The sequence below is a fragment of the Homo sapiens genome, chromosome 9, assembly GCF_000001405.40.
Source record: "Homo sapiens chromosome 9, GRCh38.p14 Primary Assembly".
Lineage (NCBI taxonomy): Eukaryota > Metazoa > Chordata > Mammalia > Primates > Hominidae > Homo > Homo sapiens.
The window spans coordinates 120,749,799-120,772,738 of record NC_000009.12 but is presented as its reverse complement, the minus strand read 5'-3'; the positions used below and the strand labels follow the sequence as shown (position 1 = coordinate 120,772,738).

The following is a 22,940-nucleotide window of genomic DNA, read 5'->3' as shown; positions in this document are numbered from 1 at the left end:
CATTAATTTGCTTCATTAAAGAAAAACTGGAAAACATAAGAAAATGAAAGTGGTATGGCAAAGGGTGAACATTCTAGGAAGAGGAGGGGGAGTGTCTTAGTCCAAGCCATTTTAAACCCACCGGAAGAAGAGATGATTTGCTAGCTCTATGTCCTGTGTAGTTTCTTAACTTGGATTTGTAAATGAAAAAGAAATTCACATAAATTTATGTTCAGCTTATTCTTAATTTTTGTTGTTGGTTTTTTTTTGAGACAGTCTCGCTCTGTTGCCCAGGTTGGAGTGCAGTGGCACAATATTGGCTCACTGCAACCTCCGCCCCCTGGGTTCAAGTGATTCTCCTGCCTCAGCCTACCGAGTAGCTGGGACTACAGGCGCCTGCTACCAGGCCCAGCTAATTTTTGTATTTTTAGTAGAGATGGGAGTTCACCATATTGGCCAGGCTGGTCTCGAACTCCTGACCTTGTGATCCGCCTGCCTTGACCTCCCAAAATGCTGGAATTACAGGCATGAGCCACCACGCCCGGCCCATTCTTAATACTTTTTTACATATCTCCTACCGTCCTTAATTCTTAGATCTGAACTATGAAAACATAAATATTTATTGTAATGAATTGCAAAGAGTTCACAAAGTACTCTCACATTCTTACTGCATCTCTTTTTTTTTTTTTTTTTTTTTTTCTGAGACAGGGTCTCACTCTGTCACCCAGGCTGGAGTGCAGTGGTAGAATCTTTGCTTACTGCAACCTCTGCCTCCCAGGTTCAAGTGATGCTCGTGCTTCAGCCTCCCAAGTAGCTGGGATTACAGGCGTGTGCTATCACGCCTGGCTAATTTTTGTATTTTTAGTAGAGACAGGGTTTCACCATGTTGGCCAGGCTGGTCTTGAACTCCTGACCTCAGGTGATCCACCTGCCTAGGCCTCCCAAAGTGCTGGGATTACAGGCGCGAGCCACCGTGCCTGGCCCATTATTGGATCTTTTATACTGTCCCGTGTGATAGGCATTATCTTCATTGCAGGAGCTGGAGTTAAGAGAGATTAAATAATTTACCCAAGATTGCACAGGAGAATTAAGACTTGAACCTGTGATTCTTGGCTATAAAACCTGGGGTCTTTCCAGTATACTTCACTTTCTATCTGACTTCACAAATGCAGACCATTTTAAGGACAAGCTTTTCTGTAGTGATGTGATCTCTCATCTTTCCTCATTTTCTTTTTTCTGTAGATTTGGCCAATTGGGAGAGAAATCAACTGTAAGTGCTTAAAGACATTGTCTGTCTCTGAGGATAGAAGTATCTGCCTGCAGCCAAGACTTCATTTTGATGGCAAATACATTGTCTGTAGTTCAGCACTTGGTCTCTACCAGTGGGACTTTGCCAGTTATGATATTCTCAGGTAATGTTTCCTTCGACCTCACGCTTTACCTTTGAAAGCCTGCTGCAGTTCAGTAGTAAAGACAAGACTAAATGTTTGGATGTACCAGTCAGTAGCTGGCTTTTAGGAAATGTATACTGTATCACTTGTAAACAGGGTTATATATACTGAACATCTCAGACAGGAAAAATATTTTAGAGGAAGTAAGCAAATGAAAAAGAGTTACGTACTGGAACGTCCGCTGCCTGACTGTGAGTCATGAGCCACTTCTTTCAGATTTAACATGCTTTTCTGGAAAATGAGGGGCATGGATGAAAAGATCTTTCAGATCTCCATAAGTTCTAATATTTTAAGTCCTATTTCATATTCTGTTGAAATTCTGCATTGTTTTACAAACTTGGTAAACTTTAGTGGTATCTAGGGATCAAGTGACCTTCTGTTGACTAGTAGAAAGACAGAGACTTAGAGAAAAATAAAATTTGCAGGGTTTCCCTCCAAAGAAGTAAATAAGCAGCAGTCCATAGACAAATAATTTTGTGATTCACTGCATACCATAGGCTCTTCTTGGAGAAGGACAGTATCTGTTAGCATATTTGGGGCTGATGGAAGCCAGTGCCATGTGGTCATTAAGAGAACTTTGGTGATAGACAAACCTTGGTTTAAGATGTGGTGCCATCTCTAATGGGCTGTGTGATTTAGTATAAGTTTCTTAACTCCTCTGTAGCTCAATTTCATCATCTATAAAGTGACTATTAAATGAAATGCTTGTGATGAGGACCTAGTATACCACCTGGCAGATCTTTATTAATAATAAGTCTGAGAGGACCCATGTAAAGAAACCTGTTTGAATTTGTTGAACCTACTGTACTTCACACCTGTTGTGCACACACTTATTAATAACAACTCAAAAAGTTAGCGTCCCATAGCATGGTTCAGGACTTGGAGGAGTACAGAAAATTGAACATTCTCTTCATTGTTTTTTTTTTTTTTTTTGAGATGGAGTCTCGCTCTGTCGCCCAGGCTGGAGTGCAGTGGCACAATCTCTGCTCACTGCAGGCTCCGCCTCCAGGGTTCACACCATTCTCCTGTCCCAGCCTCCCGAGTAGCTGGGACTACAGGCGCCCGCCACCATGCCCGGCTAATTTTTTGTATTTTTAGTAGAGACGGGGTTTCACTGTGCTAGGCAGGATGGACTCAATCTCCTGACCTCGTGATCCACCCGCCTCGGCCTCCCAAAGTGCTGGGATTACATGCGTGAGCCACCGCACCCGGCCTCTTCATTGTTTTTATGCATGACTATTTGAGGTCAGCTCGTGTGGATCTGATCACAATAACCACAAAACTTTGGTGGGCCACATCTCTCTGATCACAAAGTTACAACCCCATTTATGTCTTCCTGGAATCAGACCAACATTTCTAACCAGTTAGGTTTCAGAGCTGTCAGAATCAGTTATAGAAATGATTGATATTTATGCTTTGAGAAAAAAGACTGAAACCTTTCCTAGAAAACATCTGTTTAAGCTTTTCCTCTTGTAGGTAGGGAAACTGAAGCTGAGACAGGGTAGGGGCCTTGCCCAGCATTCCACCTCTCACTGTATTCCAACATTCGTCCATTCATGCATGGCTGGATTATCCAATAGGTATATACTTATGGTACTAGAAAGCCAGGGACACCAAAAACAGGGGAAAATAAAGTTTTGAAAGAATCTGATATTTTGTAAAGCAAAATATTCAAGTAATCACCATGGGAAAATCACATCTTTTATAGTTCAATATTGTTTTTGTTTTGAATTAAAATTTTAGGTGGGAAGGTGCAAAGGCAAGGTGGGCTAGAGATGTCATAGTTGTTTTAATGCTTAGCATCTCTAAAGGGTTTAATTTGGTCCCACATCTGCTTTCTCATGTATGCTTGTGACTCAGAGTGGCATATAGAGACTCTAGAGTCCTAGATGAAAGTTGCTAGTTTTTAGTGTTTGAATAATAGTTTTAAATAATAAACCTGTAAGATTGTTTGCGGGTAGGAGTTGCCAGGTTCAGATTTTTTCTCCGAAAAGAGTCTGTCTTGTGTCTGCTTTTTTCCTCCCAAACACAGATAAACCAACCTCTGTTGAAACCTACTACAAATCCTCTGGCTTCAGTTGCTAGGACCAGGTAGGGCTACTTAGCTTTGAAGCTAATTGAAAAGAAGCAAAGCACAAATAACAGCATGTTACTCAATAAGTCTGAGATATGATGTGATTGCTTGAGTTAGGTTATCTCTACAGCATGTAAGGTTACTTAGGTTCAAGGACCCAGACTCTGCACAGCAGGGATGTCTGGTTCCATTTCTAAAGTGATCAAAGTGAAAGCCACAAACCTGTCAAGACCTGTGCTCTATTCTGCAACATATTTGTGTTTCAGTCTTTGGAATCAGCTCATCTTCACAGATCTTGAGCCCTAACCCGGTAGCCACCTATTTTTTGTGTTCTGTTATGATGTGGGACCTACCAGACTTTCTAGCTGTTTTTCCTAGCCTCTTTTTTTTTCGTTTTTATTTTATGTTTTTTTGAGACAGAGTCTCACTCTGTCACCCAGGCTCTAGTGCAGTGGTGTGATCTCGGCTCACTGCAACCTCTGCCTCCCAGGTTCAAGCGATTCTCCTGCCTCAGCCTCCCGAGTAGCTGGAATTAAAGGCACCTGCCATGATGCCCAGCTAATTTTGTGTATTTTTAGTAGCGATGGGGTTTCATCCTGTTGGCCAGGCTGGTCTCAAACTCCTGACCTCAAGTGATCCACCCGCCTCCCAAAGTGCTGGGATTATAGGCATGAGCCACCGCACCCGGCTTCCTAGCCTCCTTTAGATCTCTTTTGTAGGAATTTGCACTTGCCTTTGTTTATTTCACCACTACTTTATTCTTTAGATATTCATTGAGCACCCACCTTTGTGTCAGGCATTGTGGTATGCATTGGGAAACAGCAGAAGTACTTACCAAACTCAGGGAAATTACCGATCAGCAGGATGGGGAAGACTGATGTTAAACAGCTAATTGCAAACAGGTTGTTTAATGGTTGGGTTAAGAGGAGCCTAGCCTAGTACAGAGTACTTTGAGGCCCTGCCTAGTTTGTGGAGTAAGGGAAGGCTTCTAAGAGGAGACATTTGGGCTGAGCTCTAAAGGGTGAGTATAAATGCCTTAACTAAGTACCAGGAGTGGGTGTACAGTGAGGAATTTTAGACTGAGACACTAGTCCGTTCGAAGGCCCTGAGGTTAAAGGAGCCTCAGGTACATTTGAGAAATTGAAGGAAATTCCTTAAATGCATCAGCATGGCTAAAGATGGGGGCACAATAAGGAGCCATCAAAGAGTTTAGAAGTTGAAACAAGGTGATAACATCAGGTTGTATGTGAGGTTAACTGATTCAAAGGGACTAAGTAGATGTGGGGAGGTCAGTAGAAAGCTGTTGGCAATAGTGCAGGCAAAAGATGGTGTCTTGGACTAGAGCTGTGGTAGTGCATATATTAGTGAACAAATTAGAGAAAAATTTAGGGCATAAAATCAATAGAGCTTGGTGATCGAATTTGTGATTTGAATGAGGAGGAGGAGGAGAATTGGATGGTTGCCACGTTTCCTAGCTTGAGCACCTGGGTGAATGAGCAAGTAAAGAAATAGAAAAAACAGGTTTGACTAGGAAATTCAGTATTGGATAGTTTGAGTGTGAGGAACTTTGTCTTATTCACTGCCGAAATCCTGGTACCAACATTGGCTAGCTCACTTTAGGCTCTTAGTAAATATTTGTTGAGTGAATGAATATGAGTCATCTAAGTAGAAAATGATGGATGAGTTATCAGTTATAACTCATTTGGAACACACATATTGGGACCTCTGATTCCCCTTTACTTGAAGTTAATCTGAACTTACTGCTTTCCCTGGGATCAGACTCCATCTTGTAAACCTGTTTATAAAGGCTGACACCATAGGGAGTGTTCAGTGATTGATTTTGGATGTTCTCAAACATGTCATCTAATCTAAATGTCTACCTCTTTTAGCAGAAGTTTCTTCCATTTTCAGTCTGGGAAGGTGAGCTTACTCTCTGCTTTTCAAGCAGGGGCCAGCACCTGTTAACTATTTTCTTAGTTTCATAGAAGTGATGTCTTGTTGATATTCTTAGTATCATAGATTTTTTTTTCAGATATTAATTATAAGAGAAACACATGCCCATGAGAGAGAATTTGTAAAATTTAGACAGGCTTTCCGTATTCTATCTATATTGCCCAGTTGCATTTCTTCTTCAAGAAAGAGAAAAAATATTCTTCCAGGTCCAGCTATAAAAGACAGAAAGATTTGCTCACTCCTTGATACTCCTGTTATATCCATTGGAGTGTTTGTGCTGAGCATGTTCTCACATACTCTGGCAGTTATATGCTATGCCCTCCCCTTCTAAGGGGCAAAGACTATCTTGCTTATCTCTCTTCAGGGGCCCAGCCAGCACTCAGCACCTATGATACTCAGAAAACATTTGCTAGGCCTGCATTATGTTAGCTGTATGACTCATGGCAAGATGTTTTAGTCTTGTTTACTGATATAGTGGAGAGAATACCTCTACCTAACTGCATTATGAGGATTGAGATAACACGCTGGGTGCAGTGGCTCACGCCTGTAATCCCAGCACTTTGGGAGGCTGAGGCGGGTGGAACACAAGGTTGAGATCGAGACCATCTCGCCAACATGGTAAAACCTCATCTCTACTAAAAATACAAAAATTAGCTGGGCGTGGTGGCGGGCATCTGTAATCCCAGCTACTCGGGAGGCTGAGGCACGAGAATCGCTTGAATCCGGGAGGTGGAAGTTGCAGTGAGCCGAGATCACGCCACTGCACTCCAGCCTGGTGACAGAGCGAGACTCCATCTCAATAAATAAATAAATAAAAATAATTAAAAAAGATAACATGTTAATTATGAAGTTCGGTGCCTTGCACATGTAAATGCTTGATAAATATTGAATGTCCCCCATCCTTCCTGATATGAGACTGAAATTGGCTCCTTTGTAACTCTTTGCCTCTGATCCTAGTTCTGTCTTCTAAAGCTTATAATGTCTGGGCTGTCTCTTACACATCTTTCACTATTCAGAAGTGATCCTCATATACAGTTACCCTATGCCTGCCAACTCTTTCCTTCCCCATCTCAGCTGATAGCCTTCAGCTGTTCTTCCTTGTCCTGGTCTCCAGGTCCTCCCATTCTGGTTGCTCTCTTGAACCTATACTAGTTTGGTGGTGTCCTTAAAACCTAGGCTAAACTCTCCTCCCACAGGAGCCCCACCATATGTCACAGAGCAGTATTTGTCTACTGCTTGTCTGGTAGCTCAGCTCTTAGTTCCTCCAAAGAGGACATCAGCTTTTCTTGTTAATCTTTTGCTTCACTAAGGGCGCAGACAACAGAAGCTAAGTTGTTTTTTGTTTTCCTTTGTGCTGCTGTTTAGCTAGGTGTCTCCTAGCCTTTGTCATTGATGTCTTGGAAACTGCCTCTGAGAAAGTTAGGGCTGTCCTCCCAACTCCCTACTTTTCTCTGCTTCCCCTAGTTGTTTCTTCCCTAGTTTTTTTCATAATAACTTTTTATGAATCTATTATTAATAAATGTTTCTAAGTTATTTGGGAAACTTTAAATATTTTCAGCCTTTACTGTTTTTAGAGAGAAACCCATTTGTTTGCTGCCTGCTGAGTAGAGTAGCACTTTAGTCACTTGGCTTTCAGGTTTCTTCTGGGCTTCAGGGTGTTCCAGTATTCTAGGAGTTGATGAATACATCTTTTTACCTAGTGGTAAGAGTTAACTCTTGCCTTCTAGTTCTCACTGGTAACTGACAAATTGTGAATCCTTAGCCAAAGCATTTACTCTGCCTGAGCTTTGGTTTTCACAGCTTAAAAATAGATTGTTTAGTTAAATGTTATCTGTAAGATCCTTTCTAGCCTGGATAGATGTTTTGTACTTTTATAAACTTTCATCAGGCCGGGTGCGGTGGCTCACGCCTGTAATCCCAGCACTTTGGGAGGCCGAGGTGGGCAGATCATCTGAGGTCAGTAGTTCGAGACCAGCCTGGCCAACATGGTGAAACCTCGTCTCTACTAAAAATACAAAAATTAGCCAGGTGCAGTGGCAGCCGTCTGTAGTCCCAGCTACTTGTGAGGCTGAAGCAGGAGAATCACTTGAACCTGGGAGGTGGAGGATGCAGTGAGCCGAGATCACGCCCCTGTACTCCAGTGTGGGCAACACAGTGAGACCCTGTCTCAAAAAAAAAAAAAAAAACTTTGATCAAACACCACCTTTCCCTTCCATGCCAATATTATATAATGACTGAACGCACCTCTCCCGCTCCCGGCTTTTTTATAAGTGGGCTGAGCTTTTCTCCTTATATTTTACTTTTTATCAAAAACATTTAACTCTAAATTTGCTTGAATTTAATATTGGTTTTAAATATCTCCAGAAAAGATTACAGTAGCATAAACAGAAGCAAGGTTGCCTTCTTTCACAGTCCCTAACTCTCATCCTTGTAGGGTCATCAAGACTCCTGAGATAGCAAACTTGGCCTTGCTTGGCTTTGGAGATATCTTTGCCCTGCTGTTTGACAACCGCTACCTGTACATCATGGACTTGCGGACAGAGAGCCTGATTAGTCGCTGGCCTCTGCCAGAGTACAGGAAATCAAAGAGAGGCTCAAGCTTCCTGGCAGGCGAAGCATCCTGGCTGAATGGACTGGATGGGCACAATGACACGGGCTTGGTCTTTGCCACCAGCATGCCTGACCACAGTATTCACCTGGTGTTGTGGAAGGAGCACGGCTGACACCATGAGCCACCACCGCTGACTGACTTTGGGTGCCGGGGCTGCGGGTTTTGGGTGCAACCTCTGCGGCAGCCGACTGCATGAACCAAAGTTCTCACCTAATGGTATCATCACGCAGTGCACAATCATTTATCTATGTTTTGCCAGGGGCCAGGGCTCGGGGTGGGGGAGGGCTTGTTTTATTGACATACAACGCAGCATGCTAATGGGGTACACCATTGACTTCATTTGTACTTAGTTATGTTGGTCAGTGTTAGAGGATGCATTTTGGGTTCATCTTTCTTGAGTGGAGTATTGGTTTTAAGTAAAGAAAGTTAAATGATCCATTAATCTGCTAATTGGTTGCCTATGAAATCACATTGTCTGTTATTAAAGCTTTTTACCATAGCCTTTTTTTCTTTTGAAGTTGAAGCAAAGGTGCTATGATGTTGTTACAGCAACTTTCCTCACACGGGGTTTAGCTCTTATAAGAGCCAGTGTTAAAACTTCCACCAAATACCAGTTTATAAACTTCCACCAAATACCAGTGCTAAGGAAAGTCTGTCTTCCAGTTCAAATCCAATTCTGTAAATTGAATGTTAGCAACTCATTCTAAACCTTATATCTTGGCAGAGTCAAGGTTGGCCATGTTTAAGATGTGAGCGAGTTCTGTAGTTTTTGTTGCCATGTCGGGGAAGCTAGTCCCCGGCAGCCTGGATGACTGCACAGCGGTGCCCTGGTATAGCAGAAAAGAGCAGTGAGCTGGAAGGTTAGAGACCGGGCCTCTTACCCTGGAACTCTGCACCCTCTCTGGGTCCCAGCTTCCTTGTCTGTACAGCCAGGTATGAAGCTCAGTGATTTCTAAGATTCTTTCTGGTCCTTCACCTACTGAAATGTGTAAAAGTTGATCATGTATTTTTGTCTGATCCCTGATTCATGGTTTCTTTCAGGTCGGATAATATTTAAATGAAATGACTGTTACAGAGTTTTCTATAAGAACATCAATTATATGAAAAGGATGAATAAAAGGGAAATGTAGAAAATATAGCTGATTCCACTTAGACAGTTTAAGTAATTGGTTGAAGAAATGCTGATAGAAGCCATGGTTTAAATAGGGACACAGTATGCTATACTAGAAGGATACCTGAACCCAACCTAACTTCCTCCTTTGCCTCTAACTTAATCTGCAGCCTCAGGCAAGTTAACTTTCTCTTCTAAGACCATCATTTTCTTCATCTTTTAAGTGAGGGAATTGTCCTAGATGAGGGCTCACAAACCCAAATGCCTAAGGGAGCCGTGCAGGTAACATAAATGAGTAAAACATTCTGGGGAGGATTGTGCTGTCCCCTGGAAAGTTGATCTAATAGGGCAGTTATTCAGCTCTGTTTTGTCATTAGGAGAAGCAAGCCCAGGGTTGGCAGGTCTTCACATTGTTTCAGGAGGAGCTAGAAATCCAGATTTTTATTTGAAATCCTGGATTTTTAAAACGTTACAACTGATTAAAGAAAATTTGAAATAAGGTGAGCCAAACAAAACATGTCCCTGGGTTGCCAGATTGTGTCCTCCTCCCTCTCTAAAGTTAGGTAATTTTGTGATTCAGCAGTGGAAATGTTAGTGGTCACAATCAGGGAGAGAGTAGAGGGAGCAAGCAGTAGAAAAATCTCAGCCGCTCTTCAGCTGTCTCCCCTTGTATTACAAGGGTGGTGGGGAGGGATGTATTTCATTCACAGACCAATAGGAAGGTAGTTTGAAGATGAACATAAGAATTGGAACCTCAGTGACAGCTTATGTCTGGGAACATGAGTTATTCCTTCTTGCTGACTCCAGTATAAAGCATATCCATTTTACAGGTGAGAAAAAGGGTTGCTGGCAGAGCTGAGAATGATGTGAACTCTAGAGTGGGGACCTATCTCTTGCAGAATCTGCATTAGCATAGAGCCAGACTCTGGACCTCTGAGTGCTGTGAAGTTGATAGAAATTAATGGTGAATTTCAAGGACAGATATCATTAATATCCATGTTGAAACTCTGTGGGGTTTAAGCAAAAGAACAATATCTTCCCCCATCCCACAAAATCTGGGTTTAATCTATCTCACATTGAGTTCTGTGCATCAGCTCTGCTTAGTACTCTAGAAATAGAACCGGAATCACAACTGAATCTATTTTGCAGAAGCCCCAGGAGACTTTGGGCAATGATGATGGTAAATGACTTTTTACTTTATTATTATTTTTTTTTTTTTGAGACAGAGTTTCGCTCTTACTGCGCAGGCTGGAGTGCAATGGCACGATCTTGGCTCACTGCAACCTCCGCCTCCTGGGTTCAAGTGATTCTCCTGCCTCAGCCTCCTAAGTAGCTGGGATTACAAGCATCTGCCATGACACCCAACTAATTTTTATATTTTTAGTAGAGACAGGGTTCCACCATGTTGGCCAGGCTGGTCTTGAACTCCTGACCTCAGGTCATCCACCTGCCTTGGCCTCCCAAAGTGCTGGGATTACAGGCGTGAGCCACCACGCCTGGCCGAGTTTTTACTTTTTATCGAGCCTGAACAGATAACTATTACTGATCTAATGACCATCCCCACCCTACCTCACTTTCAGATCTATCCAATAGCTTCAAAGGGCAAGTAATTATAATCATTTGTGGGAAAAGTTTTATTAAAAAGTGACAAACTTGAAGCTGTATATAGTATGTTCTATTTCAGTTTTTAGTGGTGAATACAGAAGTCATCAAGGTGGTACTTGGTGCCGCTGGAATTTTTTTTTTTTCCTAGGCAGTCTTGCTCTGTCATACAGGCTGGAGTACAGTGGCATCATCATGCAGCTGGATTTTGACAGCAGAACTTCAGGCAGTAATTGGAGTCCTAATGTCAGTTCTTCCTTATGGAGGCCTTTATTTGGCCTGAGATTTTATTCAACTACTTTATAGATGCTGGGTTTATTCATACTATCGCCAGTTTTTATAAAAATGGAAAACTAGCTCATCCTTTTTGCAAAAGAAAGCAAAGTGGGGAGTCAGAATGAGAAGTGGATAGGGGATAACTAAAACTATTCTTTACTCTCCTTTCATTGCCTTTGAGAGCTAGCTCTTGCACACACTGACTTTGGCTTCCTTAGCGCATAGGTAAGGGAATTGCCTTTCCCTCTTTTGTGAATATTCTCATTTCTGAAAAATTCTAAGTCATGAGAAGATAAGCCCTATCCTTTCTTACAAGGATTGGATTTCTTGGGTGACACTGTGGTGTGGTGGAAGCCAGCGGCTTCTTTCAGGTTCATAAAGGCCATCATAACAACTTCAGGCTTCATGGTGTGGACAGGGATCCAGGAGAGCTGAGTGGATGTGTGAAGTTTCTGATAGATTCTGTCATCATTCCAAAGGAATGTAGTTTCCTCCAGCTCAATCATTTGAAGTAATACACATTGCCAAATCTGACTGTAACCTGACATTTTAGACCTATTGGAGAAATAGGAAGAAAGCCCCTCCAGTGGAAGGACTGGACTTGGAAGAAGTTCTGCAGGAAGGTGCATGCAATTGGATAGCTGTTCATGAGTGAAACGTGGGGAACATTGCTATGAAATTGTAAGGTTTGCACTTCATTTTTCGTAGTTTAAAAATTGCTCTGTTCTGGCTGTTGAAAACACTTGGTGTGAGGTTTGAATGAGGATTATATAATCATTCTAGTATTCATAGGAAAATGATTACTGCTCTCTATTTGTAAAACAAAAGAAATAACTTTCGGAAACAGTATTTTAGACATGAGGAAATTGTTTGTATTAGGCATTTTGATCTAACAGAATCAGCTAAGGATAGTGGATCCTGGCTTTACACATTTCTTTGACCAAACCCAGCTGGCAACTTGAAGTTGTTACTGTGTGGCTTCCAGATTGCCTAGAGGTGAATCCTACCAACATCACTGTTTTTTTTGTTTTGTTTTGTTTTTTTTGTATGTTTTTGAGACAGAGTCTTGCTCTATCCCCAGGCTGGAGTGCAGTGGCGTGATCTCGGCTTACTGCAACCTCAGCCTCCTGGGTTCAAGCGATTCTCCTGCCTCAGCCTCCTGAGTAGCTGAGACTACAGGCGCGTGCCACCACGCCCAGCTATTTTTGTATTTTTAGTAGAGACGAGGTTTCACTATGTTGGCCAGGATGGTCTTGATTTCTTGACCTCGTGTTCTGCCCGCCTCTACCTCCCAAAGTGCCGGGATTACAGGCGTGAGCTGCTGTGCCCGGCCCCAGCATCACTTTTATAGCTTTCTGTGCCTCTTCCTCTGGGCCTTGGTGTATGAAGCCACTTGCCTTTCTCTGTTGGGAAGCGAGCAGAATCAGATTGCTACTCATGATGCAGTCCGGGCAGGGCATACTGTCACCTTTGCCTGTGGACACAGTTGTCAGGATAGGGGAGAAGCCCTTTAGGTCCGTCTTCTTGACACAGCCCTCCTACCTGGTTACGCTGGTGCTTTCGCTTGGTTTAGACAACCAAGACACTTGAGAATTATGCTGTCCTCAGAATGTCTGATGAAAAGAACAGATTCACTTTTTTGACACAATGCCCATTAGCCATCTTTGGCAGTGTTTCTGATCAAAGGTTCCCCATGCCTGCTCTAGGAAAGTAAACTTTTTTCAGAATAAATCCTCAAATGGATTACTGAGTAGTCTTTGCACCATTCCCATCAGCCTAATCAGACTGAATGGTCACGCTCAGTGCAAAAAGCTGTTTTGCTGTTAGGATGTTTCAGTGTTTCTTGTCTTTCCTGGAACAGTTCAGTTGTTTAAATTTAGTAATTCAATCCTGACCAGTGTAAACCCACTTAATTATTGCAGCCTAAAGAATTCAGCTACTTCTACTCTTCATAAATGTGCCCAAGTAAATATGTGTTTTTAATATTCAACCCTGGAAAATTAGTAATTCAGATGATAAAAGCTCATGTTTTGGTGTCTTTGTACTCAGATTGTGAACAGGCATATTTCACTGATTTAGACTTAGTATACTTGATGAGAATGCTCAGGTTGAAGAGATAGTTCTGTCAGCAATCCAACATCTATAGCAATGTGGAAAAAGTAATCAACTCATATTTCACGAATTTGATGTATGTTGTGATTTAGAGGGCATGAGATAAAGTTTATATTTGAACTGTGTGGGGTAGGGGGAAGAAGAGGTTGCTTAAGCAAATAGTGGGGTGATTGTGGAACAAGATGTCTCTAAGATGAGAAGTTATTTTCTTGCATCATAGAAGCACTCTTTTTACCCGTGAGTGATTGTGTTAACTATAAATCATTTATATCTGTACATTAAAGCAGATTCCCTCAATTAGGCAAATTTGGTTAGCCAAGCCCAAGTTATTGTTTGTACTTGAAAGTAATAAAGCTGCATTTCCTTAAAAATATATTCTGTAGTTAAGACTTTGTCTTGCTTTCCCCCCAACCACTTCAGACATTTTATCCAACCAATGCAGGGACTTTTCAAAAGTCAGTGTGTTTTTGAAAATAGAACAACCCCTTGAGTGATCTGAGGTGGCTCTGTTTTTTTACTGTTTCTGCATCTTCTAGAAGGTAAACTCAACAATATAACCATTTCTGAAGGTGATCCAAAAAGCAAAACAATAAAGGTAAAACACAAGGAAATAATTTTGGTGAATTTCATGAATAGTTGCAAATGAAGGGATGGGGTGGGTAAAAGTCCCATTTTGCTTCCAGACCTTGGAATAGTCTTCCTCTCTTTTGCCCAAGGATGTGTCTATCCAGCACATCTTTGCATGAGTTCTTTCTTACTAACTTAAACTTACGGGGCTTCTTGTCATTTGAGTACCACGGCCCTGCACCTTTGATCCCCTGACAGCATCATTAAGGGCAGATTGTCATTCCTGTTTTACAGATGAGAAAGCTGTGGCTTGGTAAAGTGATTCATTGCCTAGAGGAGTTATAGTAAGTGGTGAGGCTGAAGCCCTGATTTTCAGCCCCCACACACCTGGATTTTTTCCATGTTTTCATGTTTGTCTGTTCTTTCTGTATTTCAAGTCTCTTCAAATCCCGACTGCTGCCTTCTGCCTTCACCACTTGTGTGCACTGTTCAACCTGTCTTATGCTTTGCTTCCAGGGAGTCTCCCCAACCACTTCTTTGAGCACTTACTTGCTCTTGTTCAATCTTGGTAACTCTCCGTTACCATCAGGGCACATCTGGATTCCTTAACATCATGGAGCCCTAGCTAATTTCTTCGAGCAAACAGTTCTTGCTCCTCTATTTATTTCCACCCTTGCGCTTTGGGTGTTAATCTCCCATCCTCGTGGAAAGTTCTTGATGTTCCTTTCCACCAGTCCTAGGGCCAGGCTTTAATCCCATTGATCTCCCACTATCTTTAAAGCCTCTGCTGACCACCATACCCCACTCCAGCCTCACTGAGCATTTTTGTGTAAGGTTAGTGGTGCAGTTCATTTAGCAATAAATACTGTTGTACCTTTTGCAGTAGACAACTATTAACTTTCATCCTTGATTCTCAGTTTTTTCCAAAATACAAGTGAATACCTGGTTTCCCCAGCAACATTGTAAGATTGAGAGTAGGAATTCATTGAGATTTTAATGAATTCCATGGATTGTCTTAAGAGCTATCTAAACTTGGAAGAAAAATAACTTCCAGAGCATCTAAAATTGAAAATAAAAGATCAGAAGCAAATGAAAGATCAATTCCACACAGCTTTTCCTCTCTTAGACGTCCCTCTTCTGCCATATCCTGTAAACATCTGAAGTGTTCTGAGTACATTTGGAGAGAATATTTAATGATCACACTGTGATTAGACATGAGTAGTCCCTGCCAGTGGGATGTTCCTGTCCTTTGCATTTTAACCACATGTTCTGTGCTCTCTGTGGTAAAGATAATCTAACAGTAATAAAAACTTATGGAGAAAATTACCCAGAGCTCCTTTATCATTACGATTTTTAATACTCTCTTCTAATCCTTATGCACATGTGTATGGATTTATGTACTGCAAATCATTGTTTTGTAATACATTCTCAAAAATGTGCTTTAGGTTTTTACAACTACCATAATATTTTGTAATTTTCCTTCATTACTGTAATTTGCTAAACCATTTCTGTTTTGGTAGATAATTAGGTAGTTTCCAGTTCTGCTTTTTAGAAGATACTACAGAGAACTTCTTTGTGCATATTTCCTTAGAACAAGTTCCAGTAGAAGACTTACTCGCAAAAGCAGTGGAATTTTTTCTTAGTATTTTCTGTTACAGGTACAGAAGAGTGCATACAACACACAGTTTTGTCGAATAGTTATGAAGTGAACACTTGTCTAACCACTGCCCGAGTCAAGAAAGAACATTTCTAAACATGTTTGCCAATTTAATAGATATAAAGGAAGTATCTCAAGGTTGCTTTAACTGACATTTCTTTAACACATGACAACATTTTTATGGGGGAGGGGACTAGAGAGAAAATGACATATTTTTATGTGTGCTTATTTGTATCTCTTGAATTCTGTCTGCATCTTTTACCCATTACACTTTCAAATACTTGTGAAATCATTGGTCGAGATGAATTATGGCTATAAATAAAATTTCACTAATCTAATTATCACTGATTTAGAAATAATAGTTCAACCCAAGACATGCGTTGAAGTGTTCTTTCATTACATAAAAAGGATTTGTGTCAAGTAAACCTATACACAATCTGTTTACATATTACTGGTTTATATGGTACATCACAAATTATGCAAAAAGTAGATCTAGTAAGACCCAGTACCAAAGATTAGAGCTAGTCAACAATACTATTTAAAGGAAAATATGGACAGTCATGAGTCAAAATGTTTTTTCCCCAAATTAACCATAATATATATTGAAGTTTAAAATGAGGAATTCATTTTGGAAAGCAGCCAAGCACAGATTCTAAGAACATAGTAATCCTGTGTTTTATTTTTACTCAATGCAGACTCGAGGGTGTCAGGTGTGCTTTTATATCTCCAGCTTCTAAGTTCAGAGAGGAGATTTTCTATCTGAAACTTTTTATAGGATAGCAAACATTCCTGAGTTTCTTAGTTCAGCAGGTTTAGCCATGTAAGGCAGCTCTTGGGCTAGTTGATCTTTCAGGCTTTAAGGGCACAAGGCTTAAACTCTATTTGACAGAAGAAGAGAAAAACAACACTTAGGAAGTCTGTATATTGGAAGAAATGGAGAGGTGGAAATAATAGACTAAGAGTTATTTTTTTCATTTTCCTTTTCTCCCTCACCCGACTATGTCTTGAGAACAAACCATGTCTCATTCTTCTCTGTGCTCACATCACCTAGAACTACAAAGTAAACTGGAGGAAGGATGGATGGATGGATGGATGGGTGAATGGGCCTTGGGTTGGTCTACATTGATTTTCTGTAATCCAGTGTTCACAAAATGTACTTTCCTTCCAGCATCACCTGGAAACATCAGCATCACCTGGAAGCTTGTTAGGAATGCTAATTATCAGGCCACACCCAGACCTAATGAATCAAACTTTGGGGCTGAAGACCCACAGGTGTTTGTGATGCCCACTAAGGTTGAGAACCCCCGGCTATTATCTAGCCTGTTCTGCCACCTAGTGGAAAATTTGGGAGTTGCAGCTAGTAATGAGAGCCAGATTCCGTTGCTGTAGAAGACGTTTAATTATACCAAGGACTTTCTTGCACTTAAGGTTACTGCACATTCTGAGACTGAGTTTTGTTCTTGTCGCCCAGGCTGGAGTGCAGTGGCGTGACCTCTGCCTCCCAGGTTCAAGCAATTCTGCCTCAGCCTCCTAGGTAGCTGGGATTACAGGCGCACACCACCATGCCCAGCTAATTGTTATTTTTAGTAGAGATGGGGTTTCACCATGTTGGCCAGGGTGGTCTCAAACTCCTGACCTCAGGTGATCCGCCCACCTCAGCCTCACAAAGTGCTGGGATTACAGGAGTGAGCCACCGCACCCAGCCTAAATGTGTTCTAATACTGTACTTGCCTTCTACTTTATTTCCAGTTATCATAGGGCATGTCATGCTAAGACATCAGTAGGCAGCAGAAGGAACTGTCAACAGAGTAAATAGACAATCTACAGAATGGGAGAAAATATTTGCAAACTATGTATCTGACAAAGGTCTAATATTCAGCATCTGTAAGGATCCTAAGCAAGTCTACAAGAAAAAAAAACCATTAAAAAGTGGGCAAAGGACATGAACACTTTTCAAAAGAAGACATGTGTGTGTCCAAAGAAAGCATATTTAAAAAAGCTCAATAACTGATCATTAGAGAAATGCAAATCAAAACCACAGTGAGATACCATCTCACACCAGTCAGAATAGCTATTAAAAAGTCAAAAAATAACATGGCCAGGTGCAGTGACTCAGGCCTGTAATCTCAGGACTCTAGGAGTCTGAGGCTGGTGGATTGCTTGAGCCCAGGAGTTTGACACCAGCCTGGGTAAGAGGGTGAAACCCCATCTCTACAGAAAATACAAAAATTAGCCAGACGTGGTGGCATGCGCCCATAGTCCCAGCCATTTGGGAGGCTAAGGTGGGAGAATTGCTTGAGCCAAGAAGGCATATGTTGCAGTGAGCCATGATTATGCTACTGCACTGCAGCCTGGGAGACAGAGCAGGACTCTGTCTCAAAAAAAAAAAAAAAAAAAAAAAAATTTTTTTTTGACCGGGCCTGGTGGCTTACGCCTATAATCCCAACACTTTGGGAGACAGAGGCAGGTGGATCACCTGAGGTCAGGAGTTTGACACCAGCCTGGCTAACATGGTGAAACTCCGTCTCTACTAAAAATACGAAAAAAAAATTAGCTGGGCATGGTAGCAGGTGCCTGTAATCCTCGTTACTTGGGAGGCTGAGTCAGGAGAATAGCTTGAACCTGGGAGGCAGAGGTTACAGTGAGCCGAGATCACGCCACTGCACTCTTGCCTGGGCAACACAGTGAGACTTTGTCGTATCAAAGAAAAAAAAGAATGAACTTTGGAGAGGTAGAGAAAAGGGAACACATATACACTGTTGGTGGGAGTGTAAATTAGTTCAACCATTGTGGAAAGCAGTGTGGTGATTCTTCAAAGAGCTTAAAAACCAGAACTGCCATTCAACCCAGGAATCCCACTACTGGGTATATGCCCAAAGGAATATAAATCGTTCTACCATAAAGATACATGCACGTCTGCTGGGTGTAGTGGCTCATGCCTGTAATCCCAGCATTTTGGGAGGCCGAGGCAGGTGGATCACCTGAGGTCAGGAGTTTAAGACCAGCATGGCCAACATGGTGAAACCCCATCTCTACTAAAAATACAAAAATTAGCCGGGCGTGGTGGCACGCACCTGTAGTCCCAGCTACTCGGGAGGCTGAGGCAGGAGAATCGCTTGAACCCAGGAGGCGGAGGTTGCAGTGAGCGGAGATTAAGCCACTGCACTCCAGCCTGGGCGACAGAGTGAGACTCCATCTCAAAAAAAAAAGAATGAGAAAAATATTTTCTATTTGCTTATTTTTGTATTTTCTAAGTTTCCCACAGTGAGCATGAGTTTTTGTTGTTGTTGTTTTTGTTTTTTGTTTTTTTTTTGAGACGGAGTCTTGCTCTGTCGCCCAGGCTGCAGTGTAGTGGCACGATCTTGGCTCACTGCAAACTCCGTCTCCTGGGTTCACGCCATTCTCCTGCCTTAGCCTCCTGAGTAGCTGGGACTACAGGCACCTGCCACTGCACCCGGCTAATTTTTTGTATTTTTAGTAGAGATGGGGTTTCACCGTGTTAGCTAGGATGGTGTCGATCTCCTGACCTCGTGATCTGCCCACCTCGGCCTCCCAAAGTGCTGGCATTACAGGCTTGAGCCACCGCGCCCGGCCGAGCATGAGTTTTTTTAAGAATAATTAATTTTTTTTTAGTTATATAATACAGCTGCAGGCATCTTTTAGCTCAAACTCCCTCTTTCAGGAAACACGTATGAGGTTTCTACTCTGTATCAGGCATCGTGCTGGAGCCTGGGGATATGTAGATTAATCGTGTATGGTCACTGTTTCTGGGAGCTCAGGTTCCCTAGGATAGTACACACACAAAACCCAAGAGGTGTCATGAAGGAAGCACCAAGAAGGAAGAAGTTCTACTTAAGGGTGATAACCAAGGTTCCATAGAGGAAGTAACTCTCCAAGAGATTTGTAAGCTAGTAGAAGGATTCTAGATACAGACTTTCTATAAACTGATACTCTTTGTTTGCTGGCTCTAGGTTGCTAACCTAGATGCATGGTTGGTGGAACTGTATCACTCATCGGGTCTTTATTAAATATAGGAACACAGAAGACACTGCTAGAACTTGAAGGCAAAAATCATTAAACAACTGAAAACACAAAATGAGCAGGTTGGTGGTGGTGCCAGCCTGGTTTTTAATCTCTTCAAATCCACACAAAGAACAGCAACTAGGCCAGGCGCGGTGGCTCACGCCTGTAATCCCAGCACTTTGGGAGGCCGAGGCGGGCGGATCACGAGGTCAGAAGATCAAGACCATCCTGGCTGACACGGTGAAACTCCGTCTCTACTAAAAATACAAAAAGTTAGCCGGGCATGGTGGTATGCGCCTGTAGTCCCAGCTACTCGGGAGGTTGAGGCAGAAGAATCGCTTGAACCCAGGAGGCGGAGTTTGGGAGGTTGCTGTGAGCTGAGATCATGCCACTGCACTCCAGCCTGGGCGTCTCTGTCTCAAACAAACAAACAAACAAACAAAAAACCCAGCAACTGAATAGCAAAACCAAGGGCCCAGACAGTACTTTCAACAAAGCTAGGTACAAGGTAACTTCATGAGCCCCAGAATACAGTAGTTGAGGCGAAATACCTATTGCCACAAGAACATTTTTGTAGGAGGAAAATGAAGGAAGGAAAAGAGATAGTATATGAGAGGCCTGAGAACAGGAGAATCCAAAATAGGCAACAGGTGATCAATGGAGAGTTGGGCTGCCAATCCTAAAATGTCAGCTGAAGCTGGGAGAGGCTCTCCAACAGTGGATGAGAACAAGGACCTAAGGCAAGAACGCCTGAAAGGGCTGGAGCACTGTAGCCCTTATAAACAGTTGAGGCTGATCGGCTCTCTTTTAGGACAAGGCCCCACACCAGGGAAAACTCCTGGGGCTAAAACTCCTGGGAGCAGGACAGGGACAAGAGAGGAAAGTAAGAGATGGCCCAGACTCAAGAAAGGATAAAGACAGAGGCAGGAAATGCCAGAAAGCAACTTGCAATATGTTTGAATCCATACATAAGAGAAGAGGGACTGCTCTGAGAAGGTTGAAAAGCTTGCCTGAACATACACTCATTCCAAAAAGTCAGGAAAACAAATTTTACATAAAAATAATATAAAAGTATCAAGATCAAATTCTATACACAGTTATTAAGAAAAAAATGCGAAGAAGGAGCAGATTAACATCCTTACAGACAATGAAAACACACCAGGGAGACACCATAAAACAGACCAAGACTAACTTAAAAACAAATACATCAGCCTGGGCATGGTGGTTCACACCTGTAATCCCAGCACTTTGGGAGGCCAAGGCAGGCTGATCACTTGAGCCCAAGAGTTCAAGACCAGCCTGGGCAATATGATGCAACCCCATCTCTACAAAAAAAAAAAAAAAATTAGCTGGGCATGGTGGCATGTGCCTATAGTCCCAGCTACTCAGGAAGCTGAGGTGGAAAGATCACTTGAGCCTGGAAGGTCCAGGCTGCAGTGAGCCATGTTTGAGCACTGACTCCGGGCTGGACAACAGAGTGAGACCCCATCTCAAAAATAATAATAATAACAGATAAACAGATAATGATTTAAGAGATAAAAGACAGTGAAAAAGAAAGATATGTTTAAATAAAAAGGAAATGAAGAGATAAACAAGATTTGAGGGAAATTGACAAATATTGAAAGCAGCAAAGATCAAACATACAGGTAATAGGAGTTCCTAAAGAAGAAAATCAAGTAAGGGAGGAACAGAACAAATGCCAAAAGATATAATTCAAGAAAACATTTCAGAAATTTAAAAATGTTGAAACTACAATTGAAAGTATACCAAGAGAATATACACCCTGAGTGACCAATATTAAAACATTCCATTAAACTTATTAAACTTTAAATAAAAAGCAAATATTATTTGGGCATCCAAATAGTAGATGGGGAAAAATTCCTCTTAATAAAAGTATTCCAACTCTAAATGGGAAAAAGATAGAATATAACCAGTTTGCAACTCCTCTGAATGAATAGATAGGCATTGAGCTTCACCCACTCCTAAGATCACAAAGAGACAACAAATCATAATGTGTCTCCTATAGTCATGCCAAATACCCTCAGTAATCTTGCCAAAGGAACCAAACGTGAGTTTGAACCATTCTCTGAACTTAGGTACCAATTTGCAGGAAATACCAAGGATAGAGAAATATGTTGAACTGCAACAGGAGTATAAAATCAGCAAAATCCAGACTGCAGGAAACTGTAGCAAATGGCCTGGGTTTTTCAACAGATACATTCTAAGGAAATGAAAGGGGTGGAGGAAGAATCTATAAATTGAAAGAGACAGGGCCAGGCATGACGGCTCATGCCTGTAATTCCAGCACTTTGGGAGGCTGAGGCGGGCGGATCACCTGAGGTCAGGAGTTAGAGACCAGCCTGGCCAAAATGGTGAAACCCATCTCTACTAAAAATTCAAAAAAAATAGCTGGGTGTAGTGGCACATGCCTGTAGTCCCAGCTACCTGGGAGGCTGAGACAGGAGAATCGCTTGAACCTGGGAGGTGGAGGTTGCGGTGAGCCGAGATCACGCCATTGCACTCCAGCCTGGGCAACAAGAGCGAAACTCCGTCTAAAAAAAAAAAAAAGAAGATACTTGAATAAGAACTTAAGAAGATGCTTAACATCATTAGTCAACAGGGAAACATCTAAATAGAATGGCTAAAATTTAAAAAACCAACCAAACCAAGTACTAGAGAAGATGTGGTGCAACTGGGGATCTCATACACTGCTAACAGGAATGCAAAATGACACAACCACTTTGGAAAAATATGTGGCAGGTTCTTAAAGTTTAATAGACACCTACCATATGACACAGCCATTCCAGTCTTAGCTTTTTTTTAATCCAAAAGAAATAGAAACATATATCAACACACAGCCTGGCCAACATGGCACAAACCCGTCTCTACTAAAAATACAAAAGTTAGCCAGGAGTGTTGGCATGCACCTGTAATCCCACTTACTTGGGAGGCTGAGGCACAAGAGTTGCTTGAACCCAGGAAGCAGAGGTTGCAGTGAGCCAAGATTGCGTCACTGCACTCCATCCTGGGCAACAGAGTGAGACCCTGTCTCAAAAAAAAAAAAAAAAAAACCCATACATCAACACAAAGATTTGTACCTAGATATTTATAGCAGCTTCATTTGTAATACCCCCAAACTGGAAACACCCCCAAATGTGTATTAACAGATAAATGGATGTATAATTGAGATCTATTTATACAAAGAAATACTACTGAACAATAAAAGGAAAAATTATCAATATATACAATAATATGAGTGAACCTCAAAATTATGATGCTGAGTAAAATAAGCCTGATAAAAAGAATGCACACTATATGCTTCTATTTATACAAAATTATATCTATAAAATCAATCTCCAGTGACAGAAAGCAGACCAATGGTTATCTGGGATGGAGCTGAAGGAAAGGATGACCACAAAGGTGCTATGGTCTGAGTTTGTGTCCCCCCAAAATTCATATATTGAAATCTTAACCTCCAAGGTGATGGTATTAGGACGTGGGCCTTCGGGAGGTGATTAGATGGT

General features: G+C 41.8%; 1 protein-coding gene across 13 annotated transcripts in view, besides 1 other annotated feature; it reads left to right on the top strand.

Annotated features, from left to right (window-relative positions):
* FBXW2 (F-box and WD repeat domain containing 2) overlaps positions 1–15,765 on the top strand; it is a 36,443-nt gene extending 20,678 nt beyond the window's left edge. For all 13 annotated transcript variants that reach the window (XM_047423218.1, NM_001375889.1, XM_017014615.3 and 10 more), the window contains 2 exons: positions 1,222–1,391; positions 7,892–15,765. In XM_047423218.1, coding sequence (XP_047279174.1) covers positions 1,222–1,391; positions 7,892–8,180 — 459 coding nt within the window. In that variant the 3' untranslated portion in view covers positions 8,181–15,765. The remainder of the gene's footprint in view (positions 1–1,221; positions 1,392–7,891) is intronic.
* Positions 4,005–4,673: an enhancer, noted in NCBI's record as "OCT4-NANOG hESC enhancer chr9:123530344-123531012 (GRCh37/hg19 assembly coordinates)". NCBI's record gives its function as "activates a minimal SCP1, AML or CMV promoter by ChIP-STARR-seq in naive H9 embryonic stem cells {active_cell/tissue: H9 hESC(naive)}" and the evidence as "EXISTENCE:reporter gene assay evidence [ECO:0000049][PMID:30033119]".
* Positions 15,766–22,940: the final 7,175 nt, after the last annotated feature.